A 26,739-nucleotide genomic window follows, 5' to 3' on the forward strand; every position below is an offset into this window, starting at 1 on the left:
TAAACATAAGCAAATGTACTGGCAATGACCAGGCAGGAAGTTTCCCAGATATTTGATTTGCCTCATATGTACAGGTTAAATTGCATAAAGTTTCCCTATTATTAAGGACAAGGCAAACATATGCTTTCATCATATATGTTCAGTATCATAACAGAGGTCCTAGCCAGTGCAAAAAGGCCAGAAAAAGAAAACAATATTGAAAAGGAAGAATTACAAACTATCTCTACTCACACATTGTGTGATTGTCTATATAAAAACACCCAAAGACTCTACAAAAGAGAAAGTACTACAATTAGTGAAATACACAACAATGTTGCAGAATCCAAGGTCAAATTCAACTGTATTTGTATGTTCTATCAATGAGAAAACTGAAATCAAAATTAAACAATGCTACTTAAACAGTAGAATAGTAGCCAGGCAGGGTGACTCACTCCTATAATCCCAACACTGTGGGAGGATGAGGCGGGCGGACCACCTAAGGTCAGGAGTTTGAGACCAGCCTGGTGAACATGGTGAAACCCCGTCTCTACTTAAAATACAAAATACAAAAATTAGCTGGGTGTGGTGGCACACACCTGTAGTCCCAGCTTCTCAGGAAGCTGAGGCAGGAGAATCGCTTGAACCCAGGAGGTGGAGGTTGAATTGAGCCAAAATGGTTCCATCTTGGCTGGGCAACAGAATGAGACTCCATCTCAAAAAAAAACACTCCAGCCTGGGCAACAGAATGAGACTCCATCTCAAAAAAAAAAAAAAACAAAAACAAAAAAACAAGAAAAGCATTAAATGCTTAGATATAAATCAAACAAAATAATACAGAAATATAATTTCTTTATAAATGTATAAATATAATAAAGTACAAATTTAAAAGAAAACCAAAATATAAATCTAACAAATACATGCAGTACATAAGAGTATAAACAAAACAATGAATTTAAAAAAAAAAAGGCCAGGTGTGGTGGCTCATGCCTGTAATCCCAGCACTTTGGGAGGCCGAAGTAGGTGGATCACTTGAGGTCAGGAGTTTGAGACCAGCCTGGCCAACATGGTGAAACTCCATCTCTACTAAAATATAAAAATTAGCCAGGCATGGTGCCAGGCACCTGTAACCTCAGCTACTCGGGAGGCTGAGGCAGGAGAATCACTTGAGCCCGGGAGGTGGAGGTTGCAGTGAGCCAAGATCGCACTACTGCACTTTAGCCTAGGTGACAGAGCAAGGCTCCATTAAAAAAAAAAAAAAAATCAAAGATAACCTAAAATAAATGCAGTAACATACCATGTCCATGGATGTCCATGGAATTAAACACTGAATGTCATTAAGATGGCAATTTCTGTCCAGGCTTGGCAGCTTTCACCTGTAATCCCAGCACTTTGGGAGGCTGAGGCAGGAGGATCACTTGAGCCCAGAGGTTGGAGACCAACCGAGGCAACATAGTCAGACCCCATCTTTGCAAAAAATTTTAAAAAACTAGCCAGGTGTGATGGCTTACACTTGTAGTCCCAGCTACTGAAGAGGCTAAAGTGGGAAGACTGCTTAAACCTAGGAGGTCAAGGCTGACAGTAAGCCATTGCACTCCAGCCTGGGCAACAGAGGAAGATTCTGTGTCTTAAAAAAAAAAAAAAAAAAAAAAAGTTGGTGATTGCAACTTTCCCCCAAACTGATCTATAGATCTAACACAATCTCAAGTACCAACAGTTTTTTTTTTTTTTTTTTTTTTTGAGAAAATGCCAAGATAATTCACAAATTGCTATGGAAAGACAAAACCTAAGGCCAGGCATGGTGGCTCACGCCTGTAATTCCAGCACTTTGGGAGGCCGAGGCAGGTGGATCACGAGATCAGAAGATTGAGACCATCCTGGCTAACACGGTGAAACCCCGTCTCTTCTAAAAATAGAAAAAATAGCCGGGCATGGTGGTGGGTGCCTGTAGTCCCAGCTACTCGGGAGGCTGAGGCAGGAGAATGGCATGAACCCGGGAGGCAGAGGTTGCAGTGAGCCGAGATCACGCCACTGCACTCCATCTTGGGCGACAGAGCAAGACTCCATCTCAAAAAAAAAAACTAAAAAAAAATTGGAGGATTTATCTAATTTCAAGACTTACTGTAAATGTATTGTAATCAGGACAATGTGATACTAGCTACACAAAATAAATGTAGAACAACGTAATAGAGTGTAGAAATAGATACACATATGACTAATTTTTTTTTTGAAAAATTGTGGTAAAATGCATATACCATAATATCTACCTTTTAAACCATTTTAAGTGGTCTGGACAGTTCAGTGACATCAAAGTACATTCACATTGTTGTACAACCATCACCAGTATCCATCCATCTCCACATCTTTTTCATCCTCCCAGACAGAATAACTGATCCTATTAAAGAAAAACTCTATTCCATCCTCCCTCCAACCCCTAATAACCAATATTCTACTTTCCGCCTGTATGAATTTGTCTATTCCAGGTTCCTCATACTAGTGGAATCATAAAATATATGTCCACTTGTGTCTGGCTTACTTCACTTTTATTCTTTTTTGAGTCAGAGTCTCATTCCGTCAACCAGGCTGGAGTGCAGTGGCACGATCTCGGCTCGCTGCAACCCTACCTCCTGGGTTCAAGCGATTCTCCTGCCTCAGCCTCCCGAGTAGCTGGGATTACAGGGTCACACCACCACGCCCAGCTAATTTTTTTTTTTTTTTTTTTTTTGAGATGGCATCTTGCTCTTGTAGCCCAGGCTGGAGTGCAATGGCATGATCTCGCCTCACTGCAACCTCCGGGCCACCAGGGTCTGCTAATTTTTGTATTTTTAGTAGAAGCGGGGTTTCACCATGTTTGCCAGGCTGCTCTTGAACTCCTGACCTCAGATGATTTACATGCCTCTGCCTCCCAAAGTGGGAGGCATGCCTGGGATTACAGGCATGAGCCACTGCGTCCGGCTGCTAATGATTTTCTTAATAGCATCTGGGAACTTGTCTACTGCCTCTTGGTTGGCAGAAGCTTCTCCTTTTACCTTGATTTTTTCTTTTTCTTTCTGTTTTTTTTTTTTTGAGACTGAGTTTTACTCTGCCGCTGAGGCTGGAGTGCAGTGGCGTGATCTCGGCTCACTGCAGCCTCCACCTCCTGGGTTCAAGCGATTTCTCCTGCCTCAGCTTCCTGAAGAGCTGAGACTACAGGCACCCGCTACCACGCCTGGCTATTTTTTTGTGTTTTTAATAGAGACAGGTTTCACCATGTTGACCAGGCTGGTCTTGAACTACTGACTTCAAATGATCGCCTGCCTCGGCCTCCCAAAGTGCTGGGATTACAGGCGTGAGCCATTGAGCTGGCCTTTCTTTTTTTTTTTTTTCAGACGGAGTCTCGCTTTGTTGCCCAGGCTGGAGTGCAGTGGTGCGATCTCGGCTCTCTGTAAGCTCTGCCTCCCAGGCTCAAGCAACTCTCCCTGCCTTAGCCTTCCGAGTAGCTGGGATTACAGGTACCTACCACCATGCCCAGCTAATTTTTGCATTTTTAGTAGAGACAGTGTTTCGTCATGCTGGCCAGGCTGATCACAATCTCCTGACCTCAGGTGATCTACCCACCTCGGCCTCCCAAAGTGTTGGGATTACAGGCGTGAGCCACCACGCCTGGACATGTATGCTTTTTTAAGGCAATCCTGCATCCACATAAAAACTGCATTTTCGGCCAGGCATGGTGGCTCACACCTGTAATCCCAGCACGTTGGGAGGCCGAGGCAGGCAGATCACGAGTTCAGGAGATTGTGACCATCCTGGCCAACATGGTGAAACCCCGTCTCTACTAAAATGCAAAAAATTAGCCGGGTGCGGTGGTAGTCCCAGCTACTCGGGAGGCTGACGTCGGGGAATTGCTGGAACCCGGGAGGCAGAGGTTGCAGTGAGCCAAGATCGTGCCACCGCACTCCAGCCTGGCGACAGAGCAAGACTCTGTCTCAAAAACAAAACAAAACAAAACAAAAACAAAAAAACCCCTGCATTTTCAATATGAGATAAAAAGATACCTTGGAAAAAGTACTAAGTTTTCGCACTTGCTGGCACAGCTACGGTGATGGCTTTGCAAAATTCCTTTTCTTTTTTCAAGTCCTTATGCTAGATTCATTTATCTTTCTTCTTTTGAGACGGAGTCTCAGTCTCTCGCTCAGGCTGCAATGCAATGGCGTGATTCGGCGCACTGCAACCTCCACCTCCCAGGTTCAAGCAATTAACCTGCCTCAGCCTCCGGAGTAGCTAGGATTACAGGCGCCCGCCACCACTCCTAATTTTTTGTATTTTTAGTAGAGACAGGGTTTCACCATGTCGGCCAGGCTGGTCTCGAACTCCTGACCCCATGATCCGCCTGCCTCGGCCTCCCAAAGTGCTGGGATTATAGGTGCGAGCCACCGTGCCCGGCCCATTTATCTTGAAATGGTGGGCAACCACAGCTGCAGACCCCAATCTATGGTACATATCAAGCAGTTCAACTTTTTGTTTTCTTGTAATGCCATGACTTTTCTCTTGTTCTTGGAAGCCCTTCTAACATCACTAATGGCACTTCATATAGGTCTCATAGGGTCATTCAAGGTTTATGGAATCGTAGTAAAAACGATGAGAAATAAAGAACTTCAAGAGATCACTTTGTACTGTGATACGTAATTTACTGGAGAGATTCCAGTAAACTGCTCACTTGGAGATGATTAGTGTCATATGGCTTTGAAGTGGATTCTGGCAACACTTTCTTCATTGCAATAACAACAAGAGGTGGCTATGAAATTATTACAGTAGTACAGTATGTATTACAGTTTTTTTTTTTTTGAGACAGAGTTTCGCTCTTGTTGTCCACGCTGGAGTGAGATGGTGCGATCTCGGCTCACTGCAACCTCCGCCTCCTGGATTCAAGCGATTCTCCTGCCTCAGCCTCCCGAGTACCTGGGATTACGGGCATGCGCCACTACGCCGGGCTAATTTTGTATTTTTAGTAGAGACGGGGTTTCTCCATGTTGGTCAGGTTGGTCTCCAACTCCCAACCTCAGGTGATCCGCCTGCCTTGGCCTCCCAAAGTCCTGGAATTACAAGCATAAACTACCATGCTCGGCCTATTACAGTTAATTTTATGATTAATGCTGTATGTCTTTGTTTACATTTCTCATAACTGAGAATGGCGTCATGTATAGTTTGTGTTTGTAAATTTTGATAAATTTTAACTTTTTATTTGAGACAGAGTCTTGCTTTTTTGCCCAGGCTGGAGTGCAATGGCATGATGTTGGCTCACTGCAACCTTCGCTACCCAGGGTTCAAATGATTCTGCCTCAGCCTCACAAGTAGCTGGGAGTATAGACACCCACCACCTCACCTGGCTAGTTTTTGTGTTTTTTTTTTGAGACAGAGCCTTACTCTGTGGCCAGGCTGGAGTGCATTGGAGCAACATCAGCTCACTGCAATCTCCGCCTCCCAGGTTCAAGTTATTCTCCTGCCTCAGCCTCCTCAGTAGCTGTGATTAAAGGCATGCACAACCATGCCCGGCTAATTTTTGTATTTTTAGTAGAGACAGGGTCACCATGTTGGTCAGGCTGGTCTCGAACTCGAACTCCTGACCTCAAGTGATCCACCCACCTTGGTCTCCCAAAAGTGCTGGGATTACAGGCATGGGCCACCACGCCCGGCCTAGTTTTTTTTTTTTTTTTTTGAGACAGAGTCTTCCTCTGTCGCCCAGGCTGGAGTGCAGTGGCGCGATCTCGGATCACTGCAGCTTCTGCCTCCTGGGTTCAAGTGATTTTCCTGCCTCAGCCTCCAGGTAGCTGGGATTACAGGCACTCACCATCATGCAGGGCTATTTTTTTTTTTTTTGAGGTGGAGTCTCGCTCTGTTGCCCAGGCTGGAGTGCAATGGTGCGATCTTGGCTCACTGCAATCTCTGCCTCCTGGGTTCAAGCGATTCTCCTGCCTCAGACTCCTAAGTAGCTGGGATTACAGGCATGTGCCACCATGCTTAATTTTTTGTATTTTTAGTAGAGACCAGGTTTCACCATGTTGGTCAGGCTGGTCTTGAACTCCTGACCTCATGATCTGCCTGCCTTGGCCTCCCAAAGTGCTGGGATTACAGGCGTGAGCCACCACACCCGGCCAAGCAGGGCTAATTTTTTTATTTTTAGTAGAGAAGAGGTTTCACCACGTTGGCCAGGCTGGCTCGAACTCCTGACCTCAGGTGATCCACCCACCTCAGCCTCCCAAAGTACCAGGATTACAGGTGGGAGCCCCCATGCCTGGCCTAATTTTTTTTGTGGTGTTTTTTTTTTTTGAGACGGAGTCTCGCTCTGTCACCCAGGCTGCAGTGCAGTGGCGCGATCTCGGCTCACTGCAAGCTCTGCCTCCTGGGTTCACGCCATTCTCCTGCCTCAGCCTCCCAAGTAGCTGGGACTACAGGCGCCTGCCACCATGCCCGGCTAATTTTATTTATTTATTTATTTATTTTTTAAGACAGGGTCTCACTCTGTCACCCAGGCTGGAGTGCAATGGCACGATCTTGGCTCACTGCAACCTCTGCCTCCCAGGTTCAAGTGATTCTCCTGCCTCAGCCTCCCTAGTAGCTGGGATTACAGGAGTGTGCCATCATGCCCGGCTAATTTTTTTTTTTGTATTTTAGTAGAGATGGGGTTTCACCATGTTGCCCAGGCTGGTCTCGAACTCCTGAGCTCAAGCAATCCACCTGCCTTGGCCTCCCAAAGTGCTAGGATTACAGGCATGAGCCACCGCACCCAGCTTTTTGTATTTTTTAGTAGAGACGGGGTTTCACCGTGTTAGCCAGGATGGTCTCGATCTCCTGACCTCGTGATCCGACCGCCTCGGCCTCCCAAAGTGCTGGGATTACAGGCGTGAGACACCGCGCCTGGCCCATTAATTTTTATATTTTTAATAGAGATAGGGTTTCACCATGTTGGCCAGGATAGTCTCGAACTTCTGACCTCAGGTGATCTGCCCACATCAGACTCCCAGTGAAATTTTAACTTTTTATAATAGATTTGTGTATATCTTATGTCTTTCTGCAAACAATAAAATGGATTAACATCTACAAATATTTTATCCGTTCATGACATACTTTTTAATTTTTTTGACTATTTCTAGGCTACACCTACTATGTATCCACAAAAAATAAAAATTAAAAACTAAAAAATTTTTTTCTAGGCTACACAGTTCATCTGTGAGTTTAAGTATCGCAAATCTCAAATCTGTGTTGTTCAAGGGTCAACTGTATTTAATCAACTGGGAGTTGATTTTTTGTATAGAGGATAAGACAGAATCCAATTTCCTTCTGATCCCCAGGGATTTCAACTTACTGGGCACAATTTGTTGAACAGTTCTTTATATGCCTCTGTTACCCAGCAAGCTTCCATATATGTGTAGGTCTGTTTCTTTTATCTATTCAATTCCACACCACCTTAATACTCCATAGCTTGAAATTAAGTCTTGGGACAAATCCTTTATTTTATTCAGTAATTACCTTTCCAGGTATATACTCTGATATAATTTTTTTTTTTTTTTTTTTTGAGACAGAGTCTCGCTCTGTCACCCAGGCTGGAGTGAAGTGGTCTGATCTCAGCTCACTGCAACCTTCACCTCCAAGGTTCTAGCAATTCTGCTGCCTCAGCCTCATGAGTAGCTGGGATTACAGGCATGCAGCACCACACCTGGCTAATTTTAATTTTTCTTTTTTTTTTTGAGATGGAGTCCCGCTCTTGTTGCCCAGGCTGGAGTGCAGTGGCCAGATCCCGGCTCACTGCAACCTCCGCCTCCCGGGTCCAAGCGATTGTCCTGCCTCAGGCTCCTGAGTAGCTGGGACTATAGGCGCCCACCACCTGGCTAATTTTTGTACTTTTTAGTAGAGACAGGGTTTCGCCGTGTTGGCCAGGCTGGTCTCAAATTCCTGACCTCAGGTGATCCGCCCACCTCGGCCTCCCAAAATGCTGGGATTACAGGCAAGAGCGACTGCGCCCGGCTAATTTTTCTATTTTTAGTAGAGATGGGTGTTCACTATGTTGGCCAGGCTGGTCTTAAACTCCTGACCTCAGGTGATCCACCCACCTCGGCCTCCCAAATTGCTGGGATTACAGGCACAAGCCACTGCACCCGGCCCCTGATACAGTTTGGATGTGCGCCCTGCCCACATCTCACGCTGGAATGTAATCACCAATATTGGTGGTGAGACCTGGTGGGAGGTGACTGGACCATGGGGGTGGTTTTCTCTTAAGCAGTTTAGCACCATCCCCCGATGCTGTCGTTGCCATAGTGAGTGAGTTCTGTTGAGATCTGGTGCTTTAAAAAGTGTATGGCACTTCGTCCTTCTCCTTCTTGCTCCTGCTCTAGCCCTGTAACCAGTATACTCCCCATGACTGTAAGTTTCCTGAAGCCTCCCCAGAAGCCTAGGAGATGCCAGCATCATGCTTACTATACAGCCTGCAGGACCATGAACGAATTAAACCTCTTTTCTTTATAAATTACCCAGTCTCAGGTATTTATAGCAATGTGAGAACAAATTAGTATAATGCCTTAAGTCTGGGTGCAGTGGCTCACGCCTGTAATCCCAGCACTTTGGGAGGCCAAGGCAGGTGGATCACCTGAGGTCAGGAGTTCAAGACCAGCCTGACCAACATGGTGAAACCCCGTCTCTACTAAAAGTACAAAAAAATTAGCCGGGTGTGGTGGTGGGCGCCTCTAATCCCAGCTACTCGGGAGACTGAGGGCAGGAGAATTGCTTGAACCCAGGAGATGGAGGTTGCAGTAAGCCGAGATTGTGCCACTGCACTCTAGCTTAGGCGACAACAATGAAATTCCGTCTCAAAAAAAAAAATATATATATATATGTTGGGAACAGGCCCCCCAAAATCTGGCCATAAACTGGCCCCAAAACTGGCCATAAACAAAATCTCTTCAGCACTGTGACATGTTCATGATGGCCATGACACCCACGCTGGAAGGCTGTGGGTTTACCAGAATAAGGGCAAGAAACACCTGGCCCACCCAGGCTGGAAAACCGCTTAAAGGCGTTCTTAAACCACAAACAATAGCATGAGCGATCTGTGCCTTAAGGACATGCTCCTGCTGCAGGTAACTGGCCAAACCCATCCCTTTATTTCGGCCCATCCCTTTGTTTCCCATAAGAGATACTTTTAGTTAATCCCGTTTCCCATAAGGGATACTTTTAGTTAATCTAATATCTATAGAAACAATGCTAATGACTGGCTTGCTGTTAATAAATACGCGGGTAAATCTCTGTTCGGGGCTCTCAGCTCTGAAGGCTGTGAGACCCGATTTCCCACTTCACACCTCTATATTTCTGTGTGTGTGTCTTTAATTCCTCTAGCGCCACTGGGTTAGGGTCTCCCCGACCGAGCTGGTCTCGGCATATATATATATACAATGCTTTAGAGAAATTAGTGTCCATATCCACCAGTGGACATTAGAGGAATATTAAAAGCAGTTTTTTTGGGCAATAACCTCAAGTTGAAAATAATCCAAGAGTAAAATCGAAGAACTGTATTACACACAAACAATGAAACAACACATTAAAACTACAGCAACATGCATTAACATACATAATTTAACATGACTATGTTGAGCAAAAAAAGGTGAGACACAATAGTATATGTCCTCTGTAATTAATTTTGTTTGTTTGTTTTTGCTTTTTTGAGACAGGGTCTCACTCTGTCACCCTGGGTGGATTGCAGTGATGTGATCTTGGCTCACTGCAATCTCTACCTCCTGGGCTCAAGTGATTCTCCCACTTGGCTTCCTGAGTAGCTAGGACTACAGGCGTGTGCTACCACAACTGGCTAACTTTTTGTATTCTTAGTAGAGACGATGTTGCCTAGGCTACTCTCAAACTCCTGGGTTCAAGCGATCCACACGCCTCGGCTTCCAAAATTGCTGAAATTACAGGCATGATATGGCACCCAACCTGTATAATTAGATTTACATGAAATTCAGGAAGAATAAGCTGTATTGTTTAGAGCTGCACACATAAATAGTATTTTAAAAGGTAAATATGTGGTTACCTTAAAAGTCAGAAGATTGGTTATAGCTTCTGGCAAGAAAAGGGGTTTACAAACAGGGAAAGTATGGTCACCTCCTGAATATTTATATGGGTACGACCTCTACAGAAAATTTACTTAGCTTATGTTATGTATTCTCTTGTTTGTCTCTTATTTGTTTTTTAAGACAGGTTCTCGCTTTGTCACCCAGGATGGAATGTGGTGGCACGATTATGGCTCACTGTAGCCTCGACCTCCTGGACAAGCTCAAGCAATCCCTTAACACCTCAGCCTCCCTAGTAGCTGGGACTACAGGCACACATCAGCACGTCCAGCTGATTTTTAAGTTTTTTTTTTTTTGAGACAGAGTCTCACTCTGTCGCCCAGGCTGGAGCGCACTGATGCGATCTCAGCTCACTGCAACCTCCGCCTGCCAGGTTCAAGCAATTCTCCTGCCTCAGCCTCCCGAGTAGCTGGGATTACAGGCATGCGCCACCACACTTGGCTGATTTTTAAGTTTTTTGTAGAGATGGAGTTTCCCTATGTTGCCCAGGGTGGTCTTCAACCCCTGGGCTCCAGCAATACTCCTGCCTCTGCCTCCCAAAATGCTGGGACTACAGGTGTGAGCCACCTCATCTGGCCTGTTTATGTATTCTCTTTAGATGTATCCTCTTCTGTTTGCAGCCCATATTCTCTTTAATGAGATGGGAATAATATTTTTCTTGAAAGTGTGGTAGAAGTTAAAATTGGGTCTGATGCTGTTCTTGGGGCAAGACTTTAAATAATAGATTCAATTTAGGCAATAGGAGTGCTCAGGTAATTTCTTTTGAGTATGTTTTGTTAAAATTGTATTTTTCTAGGAACATGTCCATTTCAACAGTTTTCCCATTTGATGGGCTTAAAGTTCTCACAGTAGTAAATTTTTAATCTCTTATATACACTTTATTTCCTTTTAAATCCCTATTTATTCCCTTTCTCATTCCTATTGATCGGCTTTACCAGAAGTTTGTCTATTTTATTAGTTTTCAAAGAACTTTGGTCTTAAAAGTGACTCTTACTGTTATACATTTGCCTTATTTTATTAACTTAAGGTGTATGTTTTACATTCTTCCAATATCATTTTCAGGCTCATTCACTTGTTCTTTTAATTTCTTATTTTCATAAAATTGTTTTTAGAAATAGGGTTTTGCCATTGCCCAAGCTGGTCTCAAACTCCTGGGTTCAACCAATCCTCCAGCCTCAGCCTCCAGAGTAGCTGAGACTATTGGTGTGGCCAGCAAGCTCTTAACAATTTTTTTCGGTCAGGTGTGGTAGCTCACGCCTGTAATCCCAGCACTTTGGGAGGCCAAGGTGGGCAGACTTGAGGTCAGGAGTTCGAGACCACCCTGGCCTATATGGTGAAACCCTGTCTCTACTAAAAATGCAAAAATTAGCCGGGCATGGTGGCAGGACCTGTAATCCCAGCTACTCCAGAGGCTGAGGCAGGAAAATCGCTAGAACCCAAGAGGTGGAGGTTGCAGTGAGCCAAGCCATTGTACTCCAGCCTGGGCAACAGAGCAAGATGCCGTCTCAACAACAACAAAAATATATATATATATAATATTTACATATAATATACATTATAAGATACATATTTTTAGAGACAAAGTCTTGCTATAATATATATGTATTTTTAGAGGCAAGGTCACACTCTGTCACCAAGGCTGGAGTGCAGTGAAGGAACACAGCTCATTGCAGCCTCAACCTCCTGAGTGCAAGTGATCCTCCCACCTCAGCCTCCCAAGTAGCTAGAACCACAGACACGAGCCACCACGCTCATTTAATTTTTAAATGTTTTGTAGAGATGGACCAGGTGCGGTGCTCACACCTGTAATCTTAGCACTTTGGGAGGTCAAGTTGAGAGGATCGCTTGAGTGCAGGAGTTCAAAACCAGCCTGGGTAACATAGTGAGACCCCATCTCTACAAAAAACACAAAAATTAGCCAGGCCTGGTGGCCCCCGCCTGCAGTCCCAGCCACTGTGGGGGAGGGATGGGGGTGGAGACGCTTGAGCCCGGGAGGTGGAGGTTGCAGTGAACTGAGATTGTGCCACTGTAGTCCAGCCTGGGGGACGCAGCAAGACCCTGTCTAAAATAAACAAACAAACAAACAGTTCTTTGTAGAAACGGTAGCTACAACCAGCCACACTGCTCAGGCTGTCTTGAACTCCTGGCCTCAAGTGATCCTCCTGCCTCAGCCTGACAAACTGCTGGGATTACAGGTGTGAGCCACCACACCTGGCCTGATTTTATTTTTTACAGCAAAAATTTATAAGTGTTTTAAAAATATACCTTTTTCTTTTTAAAACCAGGATTTGAACCTAGGTTTTCCGAGTCTAGAAGCCCACCTCATAACCATTAAATTCTTCCTGTGCATTCTGGTTTTATATTAATCAACAAATAGTGACCAAAATCTTTAATATATCATACAAGGTTCTTGGCACAATCTGATCCCTACAACCTCTATCTGTATCCCATGCTACTCTACTCCATGTTTTGACCACAAAAGCTTTCTTTCGCTTGCCTGAAACTATCATGCTTTTTCAGACTTTTGTGTATGCTCTCTCCTCACTCCTTTAAATAACAGATGAAGCCTATTCTTCACATTTTTAGCATAGTCCTTACTTTTTCTGGGAAACTAAGTTAGTTATTTCTATTATATACAGTACTCTTATAACTCTAAGTAACTCTTCATAATAGCACTTGGATGGTTAAAATCCATGAAGGTAGGAAAAGTTTCTAGATTTATTCACCACTCTATCAATTCTAAGTACATGAAACATAATAATCTTCCAACAAATACTAATTGAAAAAATAAATGAATACATATTATATAACAAGTACTAGTGTAAGCTCCAATTAGAACAAGTTGAAAAACTGTTGCTATCTCTGGGAACTCAGTGTGTCATGTCCTTCCCTACACAATCTCTTGAGGGCAGAAATTTTATCTTTCTCTTTATAATCTCTTCAAATCTCAGAATACAATCTTGTGAAAAAGTATGTGTTTAATTTTGCTGACCATGATACTAGAATTTGCTGGAATAGAAAGGCTAACCTATTCAAAAGCCTTTTTTGTCGTTGTTGAGACGAAGTCTTACTCTGTCATCCAGGTTGGAGTGCAGTGGTACAATCTAGGCTCACTGCAACCTCTGCTTCCCTGGCTCAAGCGATCCCCCCACCTCAGCCTCCCAAGTAGCTGGGACCACAGGCGTGCAACACCACCACGCCCAGCTAATTTATTGTATTTTTTGGTAAAGACGGGGTTTCACCATGTTACCCAGGCTGATGAAAGCCTTTTCTTGAAGCACATTTTAAAGATGACCCTTCCTAACATAAATGGTCAAGATGTCTCAAACTACAGTAAAGGCAGAAATCATCCTCCTTGTCAGTGTTTTAAAGCTTCAATAATTAAACTGCTATGACAGAGATACCAAAATAGACTGATAGAAAGGAATATAAAAATATTTGACATTTCACCAGGCCCCCAGCTTGGGGCGCCTTCCTTCCCCATGGCGGGACACCTGGCTTCGGATGCCTGCCTTCTTGCCCCCTCCAGGCGGTGGAGGTGATGGGCCAGGGGGGCCGGAGCCGGGCTGGGTTGATCCTCGGACCTGGCTAAGCTTCCAAGGCCCTCCTGGAGGGCCAGGAATCGGGCCGGGAGTTGGGTCAGGCTCTGAGGTGTGGGGGATTCCCCCATGCCCCCCGCTGTATGAGTTCTGTGGGGGGATGGCGTACTGTGGGCCTCAGGTTGGAGTGCGGCTAGTGCCCCAAGGCGGCTTGGAGACCTCTCAGCCTGAGGGCGAAGCAGGAGTCAGGGTGGAGAGCAACTCCGATGGCACCTCCCTGGAGCCCTGCACCGTCCCCCCTGGTGCCGTGAAACTGGAGAAGGAGAAGCTGGAGCAAAACCCGCAGGAGTCCCAGAACATCAAAGCTCTGCAGAAAGAACTCGAACAATTTGCCAAGCTCCTGAAGCAGAAGAGGATCACCCTGGGATATACACAGGCCGATGTGGGGCTCACCCTGGGGGTTCTATTTGGGAAGGTGTTCAGCCAAACGACCATCTGCCGCTTTGAGGGTCTGCAGCTTAGCTTCAAGAACATGTGTAAGCTGCGGCCCTTGCTGCAGAAGTGGGTGGAGGAAGCTGACAACAATGAAAATCTTCAGGAGACATGCAAAGCAGAAACCCTCTTGCAGGCTCGAAAGAGAAAGCGAACCAGTATCGAGAACCGAGTGAGAGGCAACCTGGAGAATTTGTTCCTGCAGTGCCCGAAACCCACACTGCAGCAGATCAGCCACATCGCCCAGCAGCTTGGGCTCGAGAAGGATGTGGTCCGAGTGTGGTTCTGTAACCGGTGCCAGAAAGGCAAGCAATCAAGCAGCGACTATGCATAACGAGAGGATTTTGAGGCTGCTGGGTCTCCTTTCTCAGGGGTACCAGTATCCTTTCCTCTGGCCCCAGGGCCCCATTTTGGTACCCCAGGCTATGGGAGCCCTCACTTCACTGCACTGTACTCCTCGGTCCCTTTCCCTGAGGGGGAAGCCTTTCCCCCGTCTCCGTCACCACCCTGGGCTCTCCCATGCATTCAAACTGAGGTGCCTGCCCTTCTAGGAATGGGGGACAGGGGGAGGGGAGGAGCTAGGGAAAGAGAACCTGGAGTTTGTGCCAGGGCTTTTGGAATTAAGTTCTTCATTCACTAAGGAAGGAATTGGGAACACAAAGGGTGGGGGCAGGGGAGTTTGGGGCAACTGGTTGGAGGGAAGGTGAAGTTCAATGATGTTCTTGATTTTAATCCCACATCATGTATCACTTTTTTCTTAAGCCTGGGACACAGTAAAAAAAAAAAAAAAAAAAAAAAATTGAAAAGACCCTAAGATCTAACAGTATATAAGAATTTAGGATGGTGGGGCGCCGTAGCTCACACCTGTAATCCCAGCACTTCGGGAGGCCGAGGCGGGAGGATCATCAGGTCAGGAGTTTGAGACCAGCCTGACCAATATGGTAAAAACCCGTCTCTACTAAAAATACAAAAAAATTAGCCAGGCATGGTGGTGTGGTGGTGTGCGCCTGTAATCCCAGCTACTCAGGAGGAGAATCACTTGAACCTGGGAGGCAGAGGTTGCAGTGAGCCGAGATTGTGCCACTGTATACCAGCCTGGGCGACAGAGCGAGACTCCGTCTCAAAAAAAAAGAAAAAAAGAATTTAGTGCTGGGTGTGGTGAGTCATGCCTGTAATCACAGTACTTTGGGAGGCCAAGGCAGGCGGATCACTTGAGGTCAGGAGTTCAAGACCAGCCTGGCCAACATGGGGAAACCCCGTCTCTACTAAAAATACAAAAATTAGCTGGGCATGGTGGCGCATGCTTGTAATCCCAGCTACTTGGGTGGCTGAGGCATGAGAATCACTTGAACCCAGGAGACAGAGGTTGCAGTGAGCCAAGATTGCGCCACTGCATTCCAGCCTGGGTGACTCGGTCTCAAAAACAATAACAACAACAGCAACAACAAAAACTTAGTGTATGATAAATGTATCATTCCAAATAAGTTGGGAATGGCTAAACTAATCAATAGTACTGAAAGAAAATTAAACCTCTAACTCATAGCTAATATTCAGTATTACATAAGTGACATAAAGAGCTAAATATAAAAAAGCAAGATCTAGTCAATCACAACAGTGTAATTACATAAATTATGATATATTCCTACCACAGTATAAGGTAATTCTGTATGTTCTGATGACAAGCTCTCAGCATTAAAGAATACACAATGTACTGTTAATAGCGTTATCCATGGAGAGAAGAATGGGATAAGAGCAAGTGAGAGCATGTGAAAAGAGACTTTTACTTTTAAATCAGTAAACTACTAGTTTAATTAAATTATTTATTACCAGCGTGTATTGCTCCTGAAATTAAAAAATATATTCTCTAGAAAAAAGCAATTATTTTTATATAGGTGGATGGAAAAAAAAAAAAACCCTCTCTATACAGGATTCACCAGGAGAGATGATAGAGAATATGAGTAAGAGTGAACATGCCACATTAAGAAAAGCCATTTATAAATGATGAACATTAAATTGGTTCATTAAAAAATATTAAATATGGGCCAGGCGTGGTGGCTCACGCCTGTAATCCCAGCACTTTGGGAGGCTGAGACGGGTGGATCACCTGAGGTCAGGAGTTCGAGGCTAGCATGGCCAACATGGTGAAACCTCGTCTCTACTAAAAATACAAAAATTAGCCAGGCATGGTGGTGCGCACCTGTAATCACAGCTGCTCAAGAGGCTGAAGCAGGAGAATCACTTGAAACCACGAGGTGGAGGGTGCAGTGAGTGGAGATCGTGCCATTGCACTCCAGGCTGGGTGACAGAGTGAAACTCCATCTCAAAAAATAAATAAATAAAAATAAGAATGGTTTATTGCCTGTGGCTTTGTTATTACATCTAAGAAATCACGGCCAAATTCAATGCTGTGAAGCTTTTGCCCTATATTTTCTCCTAAGAGTTTACAGTTTTATTTTTATTTATTTATTTATTTATTTTGAGACAAAGTTTCGCTCTTGTTGCCCAGGCTGGAGTGTGATGGTGCAATCTCGGCTCACTGCAACCTCTCCACCTCCCGTGTTCAAGGGATTCTCCTGCCTCAGCCTCCTGAGTAGCCGGGATTACAGGCATGTGCCACCATGCCCAGCTAATTTTGTATTTTTAGTAGAGACGGGGTTTCTCCATGTTGATCAGGCCGGTCTCGAACTCCTGACCCTCAGGTGATCCAGCTGCCTCAGCCTCCCAAAGTGCTGGGATTACAGGCGTGAGCCACCATGCGTGGACTTTTTTTTTTTTTTTTTTTTTTTGAGAAGGAGTCTCGCTTTGTCACCCAGGCTGGAGTGCAGTGGCGCAATCTCGGCTCATCACAACCTCCGCCTCCTGGGTTCAAGCAATTCTCCTGCCTCAGCCTCCCAAGTAGCTGGGATTACAGGCACACACCACCACGCCTGGCTAATTTTTCTATTTTTAGTAGAGACGGGGTTTCACTATGTTGGTTAGGCTGGTCTTGAACTCCTGACCTCGTGATCCGCCCACCTTGGCCTCCCAAACTGCTAGAATTACAGGCGTGAGCCACCACGCCTGGCCAAGAGTTTCTGGTTTTAGATTTTACATTTACATCTTTGATCCATTTTGAGTTAGATTTTGTATATGGTTTAAAGTAAGACTACAACTTCATTCTTTTGCATGCAGATACCCAGTTTTCCCAGCATGATTTGTCAAAAAGACTGTCTTTTACCCTGCTGAATGGTTTTGGCACCTTTGTCAAAAATCATCTGACCATGCATGCAAGGTTTTATTTCTGGGCTCTCTATTCTACTTCGCTGGTCTATATGTCTCTCTTTATGCTACTACCATACGGTTTTGATTACCATAGCTTTATAGATAAAACAGACAATTGGACTTCATAGATATCAGAAAATTTTGTACGTCAAAAGACAGCATAAACAAAGTAAAAATGCAATCCACAGAATAGGAGAAAAGATTTGCTTATATGCCGGTTAAGAGAATAATATCCAGAATATATTGAGAACTGCTAAAACTCAACAACAAACCAAATAGCCCAATCAAAAAATTGAAAAAGCGATTGAGTAGACACTTCTCTAAAGATACATAAATGGCCAATAAGCGTATGAAAATATGTTTGTCACTAATCATTAGGGAACAGCAAATTAAAACTACAATGAGATACCCATCTCATACTCATTTGGATGGCTGCTATAAAAAAAAAATTGAAAATAGCAAGTGTTGGTGAGGATGTAAACTGAAATCCTTGTGCATTGTAACTGAAATCTTTGTGCATGCAAAATGGTACAGCCCTTCTGGAAAACAGTATGGCAGTTCCTCAAAAAATTAAAAATAGAAATGTCACATGATCCAGCAATTCCACTTCTGAGAATATGCCCAAGGTTAAAGCAGGGTCTGAAAGAGGTATTTGTATACCCGCTGTCATAGCGGCGTTACGGCATGGAAACACCCCAGGTATCCATCAATGGATGAATGGATAAGCAAAATGTGGTATGCACATAAAATGATCACAGAGCTCATACATCTCTATATTGGATAAAATACATAATCTTTCTGGGCCTTGATTTCCTTTGTCTGTAAAGTGAGTGGGTTCAGAGTGGATGGTTACTTGCCCTTTGCTTCTTTTGTGTTTGTTTTTGAGACAGGGTCTCGCTCTGTCGCCCAGGTTGGAGTGCAGCGGTGCAATCTTGGCTCACTGCAGCCTCCTGGATTCAAGCAATTCTCCCTCCTCAGCCTCCTGAGTAGCTGGGATTACAGGAATGCGCTGCCACATCTAGCTAATTTTTATATTTTTAGTAGAGAAAGGGTTTACCATGTTGGCCAGGCTGGTCTTGAACTCCTCACCTCAAGTGATCCATCCACCTCGGCCTCCCAAAGTGCTGGGATTACAGGTGTGAGCCACTGCACCTAGCCTCTCTGATTCTTAATTATAACTTGTAAAAGCAATACATAAGAACAGTTTTTGAAAAGAAATGGTCTCATATAGTAAAAAATGAAAGGTTATAAGATGAAATAATTCAGCTATAGAGTTACATTACAGTTTTTCAAAGCTAGTTTCCTCTACTCAGATAATATGTTAAATGAGGAATTACCTTTTATTATTCTCTTGCTCTTCTTCCTCTGGTAATGGCTTCTGCTTTTTTCTGGTCTGTTCTTCCAATAGCCAACCTTTTCTCTTCAACCCCTTTTTATGTTCTGGGTTCAGATTTACACTCTGAACAACAGCCTCAATTACATCTGTAACTGTGTCAGGACTGAGGTGCAGTGCTGCTCCTTCCTCGTCTCTGTTCAATTCTGGGTTGACAAACTGAGCAGCCTGGAATGCTTGCATTGATACGACAGCCTGAAGGGGACATTTCCGAGGTCGACCTGGCCTACGTTTCACAAAGTTATTCCCTGTCCTGGCCTGCCTTTGAAGTTTTTTGGCTTTTAAGATTTTATTGACATGGTCTAGGTTTTTCTTTGTGGCCAAGATTTTGTCGTAATTGCACATTTTCCGAGCTTGGCGTTGCATAGCTTCCACTACACTTCTCTTGATATGATGGGGGGAACAGCTGCTTGTCAACTTTTCAGATAGGAGTGAGATGCTATTATTGCAAGAGTCACTTGTGACTGCAGGCACTAAAAGGCTGTCTGGTTTTCCCAGGGTTCGGTCCTTGCTGTGGCTACGGCCTGGACTGGAAGAAGGTGGTGCAGAGGCAGTTGCAATCACAGCATCAATACTTTTCTCCATGGGCTCTTGGTCCTCATTTTGTACCATCCGCTGCAGCAGACTATCCACAGAGTCATCCCCAGAAGCAACTAATCTTGGACTTCGAGAGGGAACTCCGTTTACTGAAAGAGACAATAAATCACACATAGACAAAATTGGACACGGCTAGTTATTTAAATAAGTTTTTACACAGATAAAAGGGAGTACTACTCTATTTTCCATAGCAAGATTACACATCATAGGTAAATTGATGGTTTACTTTCCTGAAAAAGGTTATTACAACAAGATAAAACCAAAGTTGGCCTATATTTCTCTAATAATATGTAAATTTAAAAAGAACAACTCTCACTTTGAGGTAAGGATTAGAAAGAAAAAAATTTAATTCTTCAAAAATGAAGGTCAAAAATAAAAAATAAATAAAAAATAAATTAAGGTCCAGTTAAGCTAAGGGACTTAAATGTTGGATAAAGAGTGGGCACAGTGGCTCATGTCTGTAATCCCAGTATTCTGGGAGGCCAAGGCAGGAGGAATGCCTGAGCTAAGGAATTCGAGATCAACCTAAGGAACATAGCAAGAAGATGTCTCTACAAACAATATAAAAAAATTAGCCAGGCATGCTGGCTGAAACCTATGGTCACAGCTATTTATGAGGCTAAGTTGGGAAGACTGCTTGAGCCTGGGAGGTCGAGGCTGCAGTGAGTCACTGCACTCTAATCAGGACGACAGAGCGAGACCCTGTCTCAAAAAATACTAATAATTTAAAAATCAGTTCAAAATAAGTCACTTCCCATGCTGCCTAGTTTACTACTATTATTCATGGGTCATACTTCTCCAAAGTTAATTAATGGATTTCTTATCTATATGACTTTTAAATGTGATAACTATACTAGATATTCCTTTATTAGCCTCAGGCATTCTAGATTCCAATATCATCAGACTGTGGAATTTTTCTCAAATTACCAATAACTTTCTTCAAATAATATCCAATAGCCTTGTCTAAATTTTTAAGACTTTTTTTTTTATTTTATCATCAACTCTGGCCTATAGACCCTTGTCTCAATTTGATATTTAAACATTTTCAGGCCAGGAACGGTGGCTCACACTGGTACTCTCAGCATTTTGGGAGGCCGAGGTGGAAGGATCACTTGATGCCAGGAGTTCGAGACTAGCCTGGGCAACGTACTGAGACCCTGTCTCAACAAAAAATAAAAATTAGCCCAGTGTGGTTTCCTGTACCCGTAGTCCTATCTACTCAGGAGGCTGAGGCGGGTGGATTGTTTGAGCCATGGAGTTTGAGGCTGCAGTGAGCTATGATCACGCCACTGCATTCCAGCCTGGATGACAGAGCAAGACCCTGTCTCTAGAAAAATAATAAAATTTAAAAAAAGGAAAAAATTTCAAACTCTCAGCTATATTTGATTTCATAATTCTTTAAAATCCTGCCTACACTATTTCTATAATATCCTTTGATTAACTTTCAATTACTTGCAACTCCATTAAATTTAACTGCGGAGGTCCTCAATACAGAGTACTTGTTATTTACCTTTTATACTTACTTTCCCACTGGGAACATGTTTATTCTCATAGTCTCAATTATCATCAGTATGTAAGTGACTTCTAAATATTCATACCAATCTTCAGTTTTATCTGAAAATTACCAAAACGAAAAATGACCCCTTCCTTTTCTCCAACCTTTAAATGCTATAGTTTTTAAAAACTTTCTAGCCTGAGCTTTTTTCCTGTCTGACTCTCTATTCTCTCTTTAGCAATTCTTTTAACTATCATCTATATTCTGATGACTACTGAATTTCTATTTTCTGAATAGACCTTTCTTCTAATTGTCTACTTTTGCATGTTTCACAGATTTCTCAAACTCATATTCACATCTCATTTCATTTTCGCTCCCTTCAAACTAGCTCCTCCATCCAGATTCCCTACATCAGTGAATGATACCATAAAGCTAACATTATGTATACTGACCATCCATCGTGTGGCAGGACGTTGGTTATCTAAGCTCAGGCCACATCATTTATTCTGGCTCCTTCACCCTCCCCACAAATCATAAAATTCTGTCTTCTGTTAGTTTAAACTCTTGAACCTGTCCACTTTCCTTTCTTCTACTACAGCCATCAAGACTAAGATAATGTTATCTCCCTGCCCTGAAGCAATAGTGTAATTCCTTGTGGGGCTATTAAAATACGTACATTAATCTCTTGAAGTTTCCCTATCAAGTTGTAGTCTAGTCCCTCTCTGCTGCCACTGAAGACTTGCCTTAGCAAAGAAATTCAATAGAAGAATGTGATGATTTCCAATGTTAGGTTAGAAAAGGTCTGTCTCTCTCTCTATCTCCACCCCCCACTCCCACCCCGGCCCCGCCACAAGCCCTTGGATTCAAGCTTCCAAGCTGCAAGGAAGCCCAAGCAATGAGTTGGCATACTGGCCAACAGATCCTGCTGAGGTCACAGCCAACAACCAGTATCAACCACCAGATATTTGAATAAAGAATCCTTTTTTTTTTTTTTTTTTTTTTTTTTGAGACGGAGTCTTGCTCTGTCACCCAGGCTGGAGTGCAGTGGCATGAACTTGGCTCACTGCAAGCTCCACCTCCTGGGTTCACAGCATTCTCCTGCCTCAGCCTCCTGAGCAGCTGGGACTACAGACGCCCAGCATCACACCTGGCTAATTTATTTTTGTATTTTTTAGTAGAGACGGGGTTTCACCATGTTAGCCAGGATGGTCTTGATCTCCTGACCTCATGATCTGCCCGCCTCGGCCTCCCAAAGTGCTGGAATTACAGGTGTGAGCCACTGCGCCTGGCCTTTTTTTTTTTTTTTTTGGAGACAGGGTCTCACTATGTTAACCAGGTTGGAGTGCAGTGGCACAATCTCAGCTCACCGCAACCGCCACCTCCCAGGCTCAAGCGACCCTCCCACCTCAGCCTCCTGAGTAGCTGGGACTACAGGCATGCACCAACATGCCCAGCTACTTTTTTGTATTTTTTGTAGAGATGGAGTTTTGCCATGTTGCCTAGGCTGGTCTCAAACTCCTGAGCTCAAATGATCTGACCACCTCAGCTTCCCAAAGTGTTGGGATTATAGGTATGAGCCGCCTGCCTGACCAAACAAGGAATATTTTGAGATGACTTTACCTCACCACCATGTAGTTACAACCAAAGGAAGGGAATCCTGAGAAACTGTGAGATGATAACTGATTATTACTGTTTCATGACAGTAAGTTCAAGGTGCTTTGTTATGCAGCAATGGACAACTGAAACATTGTTCTTCCTGCTTCTACTTTCACCATCCTCCAACTCATTCTTTAGACAGCAGCCTGAGTGATCTTTAAAAAAAAAACACAAAGGCCCGGCAAGGTGGCTTACGCCTGTAATCCCAGCACTTTGGGAGGCTGAGGTGGGCGGATCAGGTCAGGAGTTTGAAACCAGCCTGGCCAACATGGTGAAGCCCCGTCTCTACTAAAAATACAAAAATTAGCCGGGTGTGGTCGCAGGCGCCTTTAATCCCAGCTACTTGTGAGGCTGAGGCAGGAGAATTGCTTGAACCTGGGAGGCAGAGGTTGCAGTGAGCCGAGATCACGCCACTGCCCTCCAGCCTGGGCGACAAGAGCAAGACTCCATCTCAAAAAAAAAAAAAAAAAAAATCAAAAAAAAAAAACCTCACAAATTTTATCAGGTTTCAGCTTCTGCTTACAACTCTTAAAAAGGCTCTTACCACATAAAACAACTTCAAAATTATTATTACCTTTTCTTCTAGCATCAATCTCATATTATCTTAGACCCTAATTCTAGTAATAATAAACTTCAGTTCCTTAAACTCATCATGTTTTTTCTTGATTCAAGGCCTTTGAGTCTGCCTTTCTCTCTACCTGGAACAATCTTTCTCCACAAATTCATCTGCTTAATGACTATTCATTCTTTAGTTTACAGTGAGGACATAATTTCCTGAAAGGTTATTTACCTGACCAGGAAGCACCCTCTTCATTCTTAATTTAGGTCCCCTATTAAGAATTATCCTAATACTTTCTCCTTTCCTAACACTAATCACACTTCAAATTAGTGGTTTAATGTATGTAATTCTCAAACAATGTTTGGTCCATTAACGCGGTGACTATATTCACCAAAATCACTTTTTATCTCCAATGACCAGGACATAATTCATTAACACGTAGTTGAAGAATGAATCCTGGGATCAAAATCTTGGAATTATTTTTATCTCCTCTATCCCTTCATCAACTACTCAGAGCTACCAATGCATTTAATCCATGAATATCAGTTTAAAAGAGAATCCTAAAATGGGTACACACTTTTGAAGCCTCCTTCCTGGGCCATTCACCTAGAGCTATTAATACCTCACACTTCATTTTTGAATTGTTCCTATCTTCACAAATTCTGGCCTGCCAATTTATGTTTCTTGGTAGTCTAGGACATGATGCTGCACACTATATTTTAGATGTAACTTATTTTCAAAATTAACTTCACTGTGGTAAAGTACCACATAAAATTCAATGCATGTTTTTTATATATACATTTTTGAGTTTTGAAAAATTTACCATGTAGCCATCATCATAACCAATATATAGAACATTTCTGTCACCCTAAAAAGTTACTGTGTGTCCTTTCCAAGAAAATAAATTGCCTGTCATCCACAGCCTCAGAGAAGAAACAACTGATCTGCTTCCTGTTATATATTAAGTTTGCTTTTCTAGAAGTTCATATACATGAAAAGAAAGAATATGTATTTTATTGTACGGCTTCATTCACACAGCATAAATCTGAGAATCATTCACATTGCCACATTTCTTTTTACTGTTCCTTTTTACTATTCACATATTTCTTTTTACAACTGAATTATATGAATATACCACAATTTCTTTACATATTCACCTGGAAATCTGCGTTGTTTCCAGTTTTTAGTCATAAAGAAAAAATATCCTATGAACATGTGTGCACATGACATTTTGTTTAAACATATTTTCATTTCTCTTGGGTGAATACCTAAGACTGGAATTACTAAATCTTTTTTTTTTTTTTTTTTTTTTGCGACGGAGTCTCGCTCTGTCACTCAGGCTGGAGGGCAGTGGCGTGATCTTGGCTCACTGCAACCTCTGCCTCCCGGGTTCAAGTGATTCTCCTGCCTCAGCCTCCCGAGTAGCTGGGACTACAGGCACCTGCCACCATGCCTGGCTAATTTTTGTTTTTAGTAGAGATAGAATTTCACCATGTTGGCCAGGCTGGTCTCGAATTCCTGACCTCAAATGATCCACCTGCCTTGGCCTCCCAAAGTCCTGGGATTACAGGTGTGAGCCACTGCAACCTGCCTAGAATTACTAAATCAACTAATTGTATGTTTAAGAAATTTTTACAAAGTGATTGTTCTATTTTATAGTCCCATCATCAATGACTGAGTTAAAGATCCTATACATCCTCACCAAGACTTGGTATTATGCAGTCTTTTACATTTTAATCATTCTAATGGGTGTGTTCTCATTTATAAATTTAATTTGCATTTCCCTGATGTTGAGCATATTTTCATGAGCTTATTGGCAATTCATATGCATTCTTTTGAGAAAATTCTATTCAGATCTTTTGCCGATTATTTTTATTGGGTTCTTTTATTTTTTGGCTTACATTTTCATTTTCTTAAATAATGTTTTCTGTTTGTTTGTTTTCTGAGATGAAGTCTCGCTTTATCACCCAGGCCGGAGTACAGTGGTGCAATCTTGGCTCACTGCAACCTCCACCTCCCGGGGTTCACGGGATTCCTGTGCCTCAGCCTCCTGAGGAGCTGAGATTACAGGTGCCTGCCACTACGCCCGGCTAATTTTTTTGTATTTTTAGTAGAGACGGGGTTTCACCGTTTTAGCCGGGATGGTCTCGATCTCTTGACCTCGTGATCCGCCCGCCTCGGCCTCCCAAAGTGCTGGGATTACAGGCGTGAGCCACCGCGCCCGGCCAAGTCAAATTTTTTTAAATGGTCCTTGCTTTTTATACTATTTAAGAAATCTTTGACCATCCCCCAAGGTCTTAAAGATTTTTTCCTATTCTTCTAAAAGTTTTATTATTTCCGAAATTTCATAGGGGTATATGATCTTTTTTGATTTAAATTTTTCATGTGGTATGAAACAGGGTCAGTGATCTTTTTATTCCATAAGGATATCCAGTAGTTACAGCACCATTTGTTGAAAAGACTATCCTTGTCCCATTGAAATAGTCACATTTGTCAAAAATCAATTGAAAGTTAGCGGAGTTTCACTCTTGTTGCCCAGGCTGGAGTGCAATAGCGTGATCACTGCTCACTGCAACCTCCACCTCCCAGGTTCAAGCAATTCTCCTGCCTCAGCCTCCCGAGTAGCTGGGATTACATGCACCCACCACCATGCCCAGCTAATGTTTTGTATTTTTAGTAGAGATGGGGTTTTGCCATGTTGGCCAGGCTGGTCTCGAACTCCTGACCTCAGGTGATCTGCCCACCTCAGCATTCCAAAGTGCTGAGATTACAGGGGTGAGCCACTACACCTGGTCTAAATTTCATTTTTAATAATTAAAAAAAAATAAGCCACGAAGTGTCTGTCGCCCAGGCTGGTCTTTAACTTCTGGGCTCAAGTGATCTTCCTGCAGTGGCCTCCGAAAGTGCTGCGATTATGTGTGAGCCACCACGGCTGGCCTCTATGTAAATTTTAGAATCAGTCTGCCAGTTTATATTAAAATCCTGTTGCAACTGTATTGAGTCCACTGACTCTACAGAGTGATCTGGAGAAAGGTGACATCTCAACAATAATGAGTCTTTCAAAAATGCCTCTGACATATCTCTCCCACTTATTCTTCAATTTTTCTCAAAAAGACTTTGTATTTTTTTAATTTTTTGTGATTTAATTTTAATTTTAGTGAGTACATAGATTGTGTGTGTGTGTGTTTGTGTGTGTGTACATTTTTTATTTTTTATTTTTTCCCTAAGGGACAAGGTCTCACTGTTACCCACACTGGTCTGAATCTCCTGGCCCCAAATGATCTTCCTGCCTCATTCCCCCATGTTGCTAGGACTACAGGCATGAACCACTGGGCCTACACTGTACTTTTTTTTTTTTTTTTTTTGGTATTTTTAGTAGAGACGGGGTTTCACCATGTTGGCCAGGCTGGTCTCGAACTCCTGACCTCAAATGATCCATCTGCCTCGGCCTCCCAAACTGCTGGGATTACAGGCGTGAGCCACCGCACCCGGCCACTGTACTTTTTATTATACAGATCCCGTACATGTTTTTCTAAATTTATCGTTAAGACTTTAATGGCTTTTAATACAACTGTAAATAGTATTATTTATATTTCAATTAATTAATTAAATTTTTTTTTTTTTTTTTTGAGACAAGGTCTTGCTCTCATCCAAGCTGGAGTGCAGTGGCATGA

The 26,739-nt window shown here is 43.2% G+C and overlaps 1 protein-coding gene and 1 pseudogene across 17 annotated transcripts in view; one reads left to right on the top strand and one right to left on the bottom strand.

Moving 5' to 3' along the window:
* Nucleotides 1-26,739, bottom strand: part of ASH1L (ASH1 like histone lysine methyltransferase) — a 227,935-nt gene that overhangs the window by 84,357 nt on the left and 116,839 nt on the right. For 12 of the 16 annotated variants that reach the window (XM_047425248.1, XM_017001785.2, XM_006711450.4 and 9 more), the window contains one exon: nucleotides 18,703-19,444. In XM_047425248.1, coding sequence (XP_047281204.1) covers nucleotides 18,703-19,444 — 742 coding nt within the window. Of the gene's footprint in view, nucleotides 1-18,701; nucleotides 19,445-20,865; nucleotides 20,970-26,739 lie in introns of those variants that run through there. The other 4 variants (XM_011509770.4, XM_017001788.2, XM_005245337.6 and 1 more) reach the window with 4 other exon arrangements.
* On the top strand, nucleotides 13,556-14,638 carry POU5F1P4 (POU class 5 homeobox 1 pseudogene 4; annotated as a pseudogene). The gene has a single exon (NR_034180.1). The product of NR_034180.1 is annotated as a POU class 5 homeobox 1 pseudogene 4 (transcript).

Source organism: Homo sapiens, chromosome 1 (assembly GCF_000001405.40).
Source record: "Homo sapiens chromosome 1, GRCh38.p14 Primary Assembly".
NCBI lineage: Eukaryota > Metazoa > Chordata > Mammalia > Primates > Hominidae > Homo > Homo sapiens.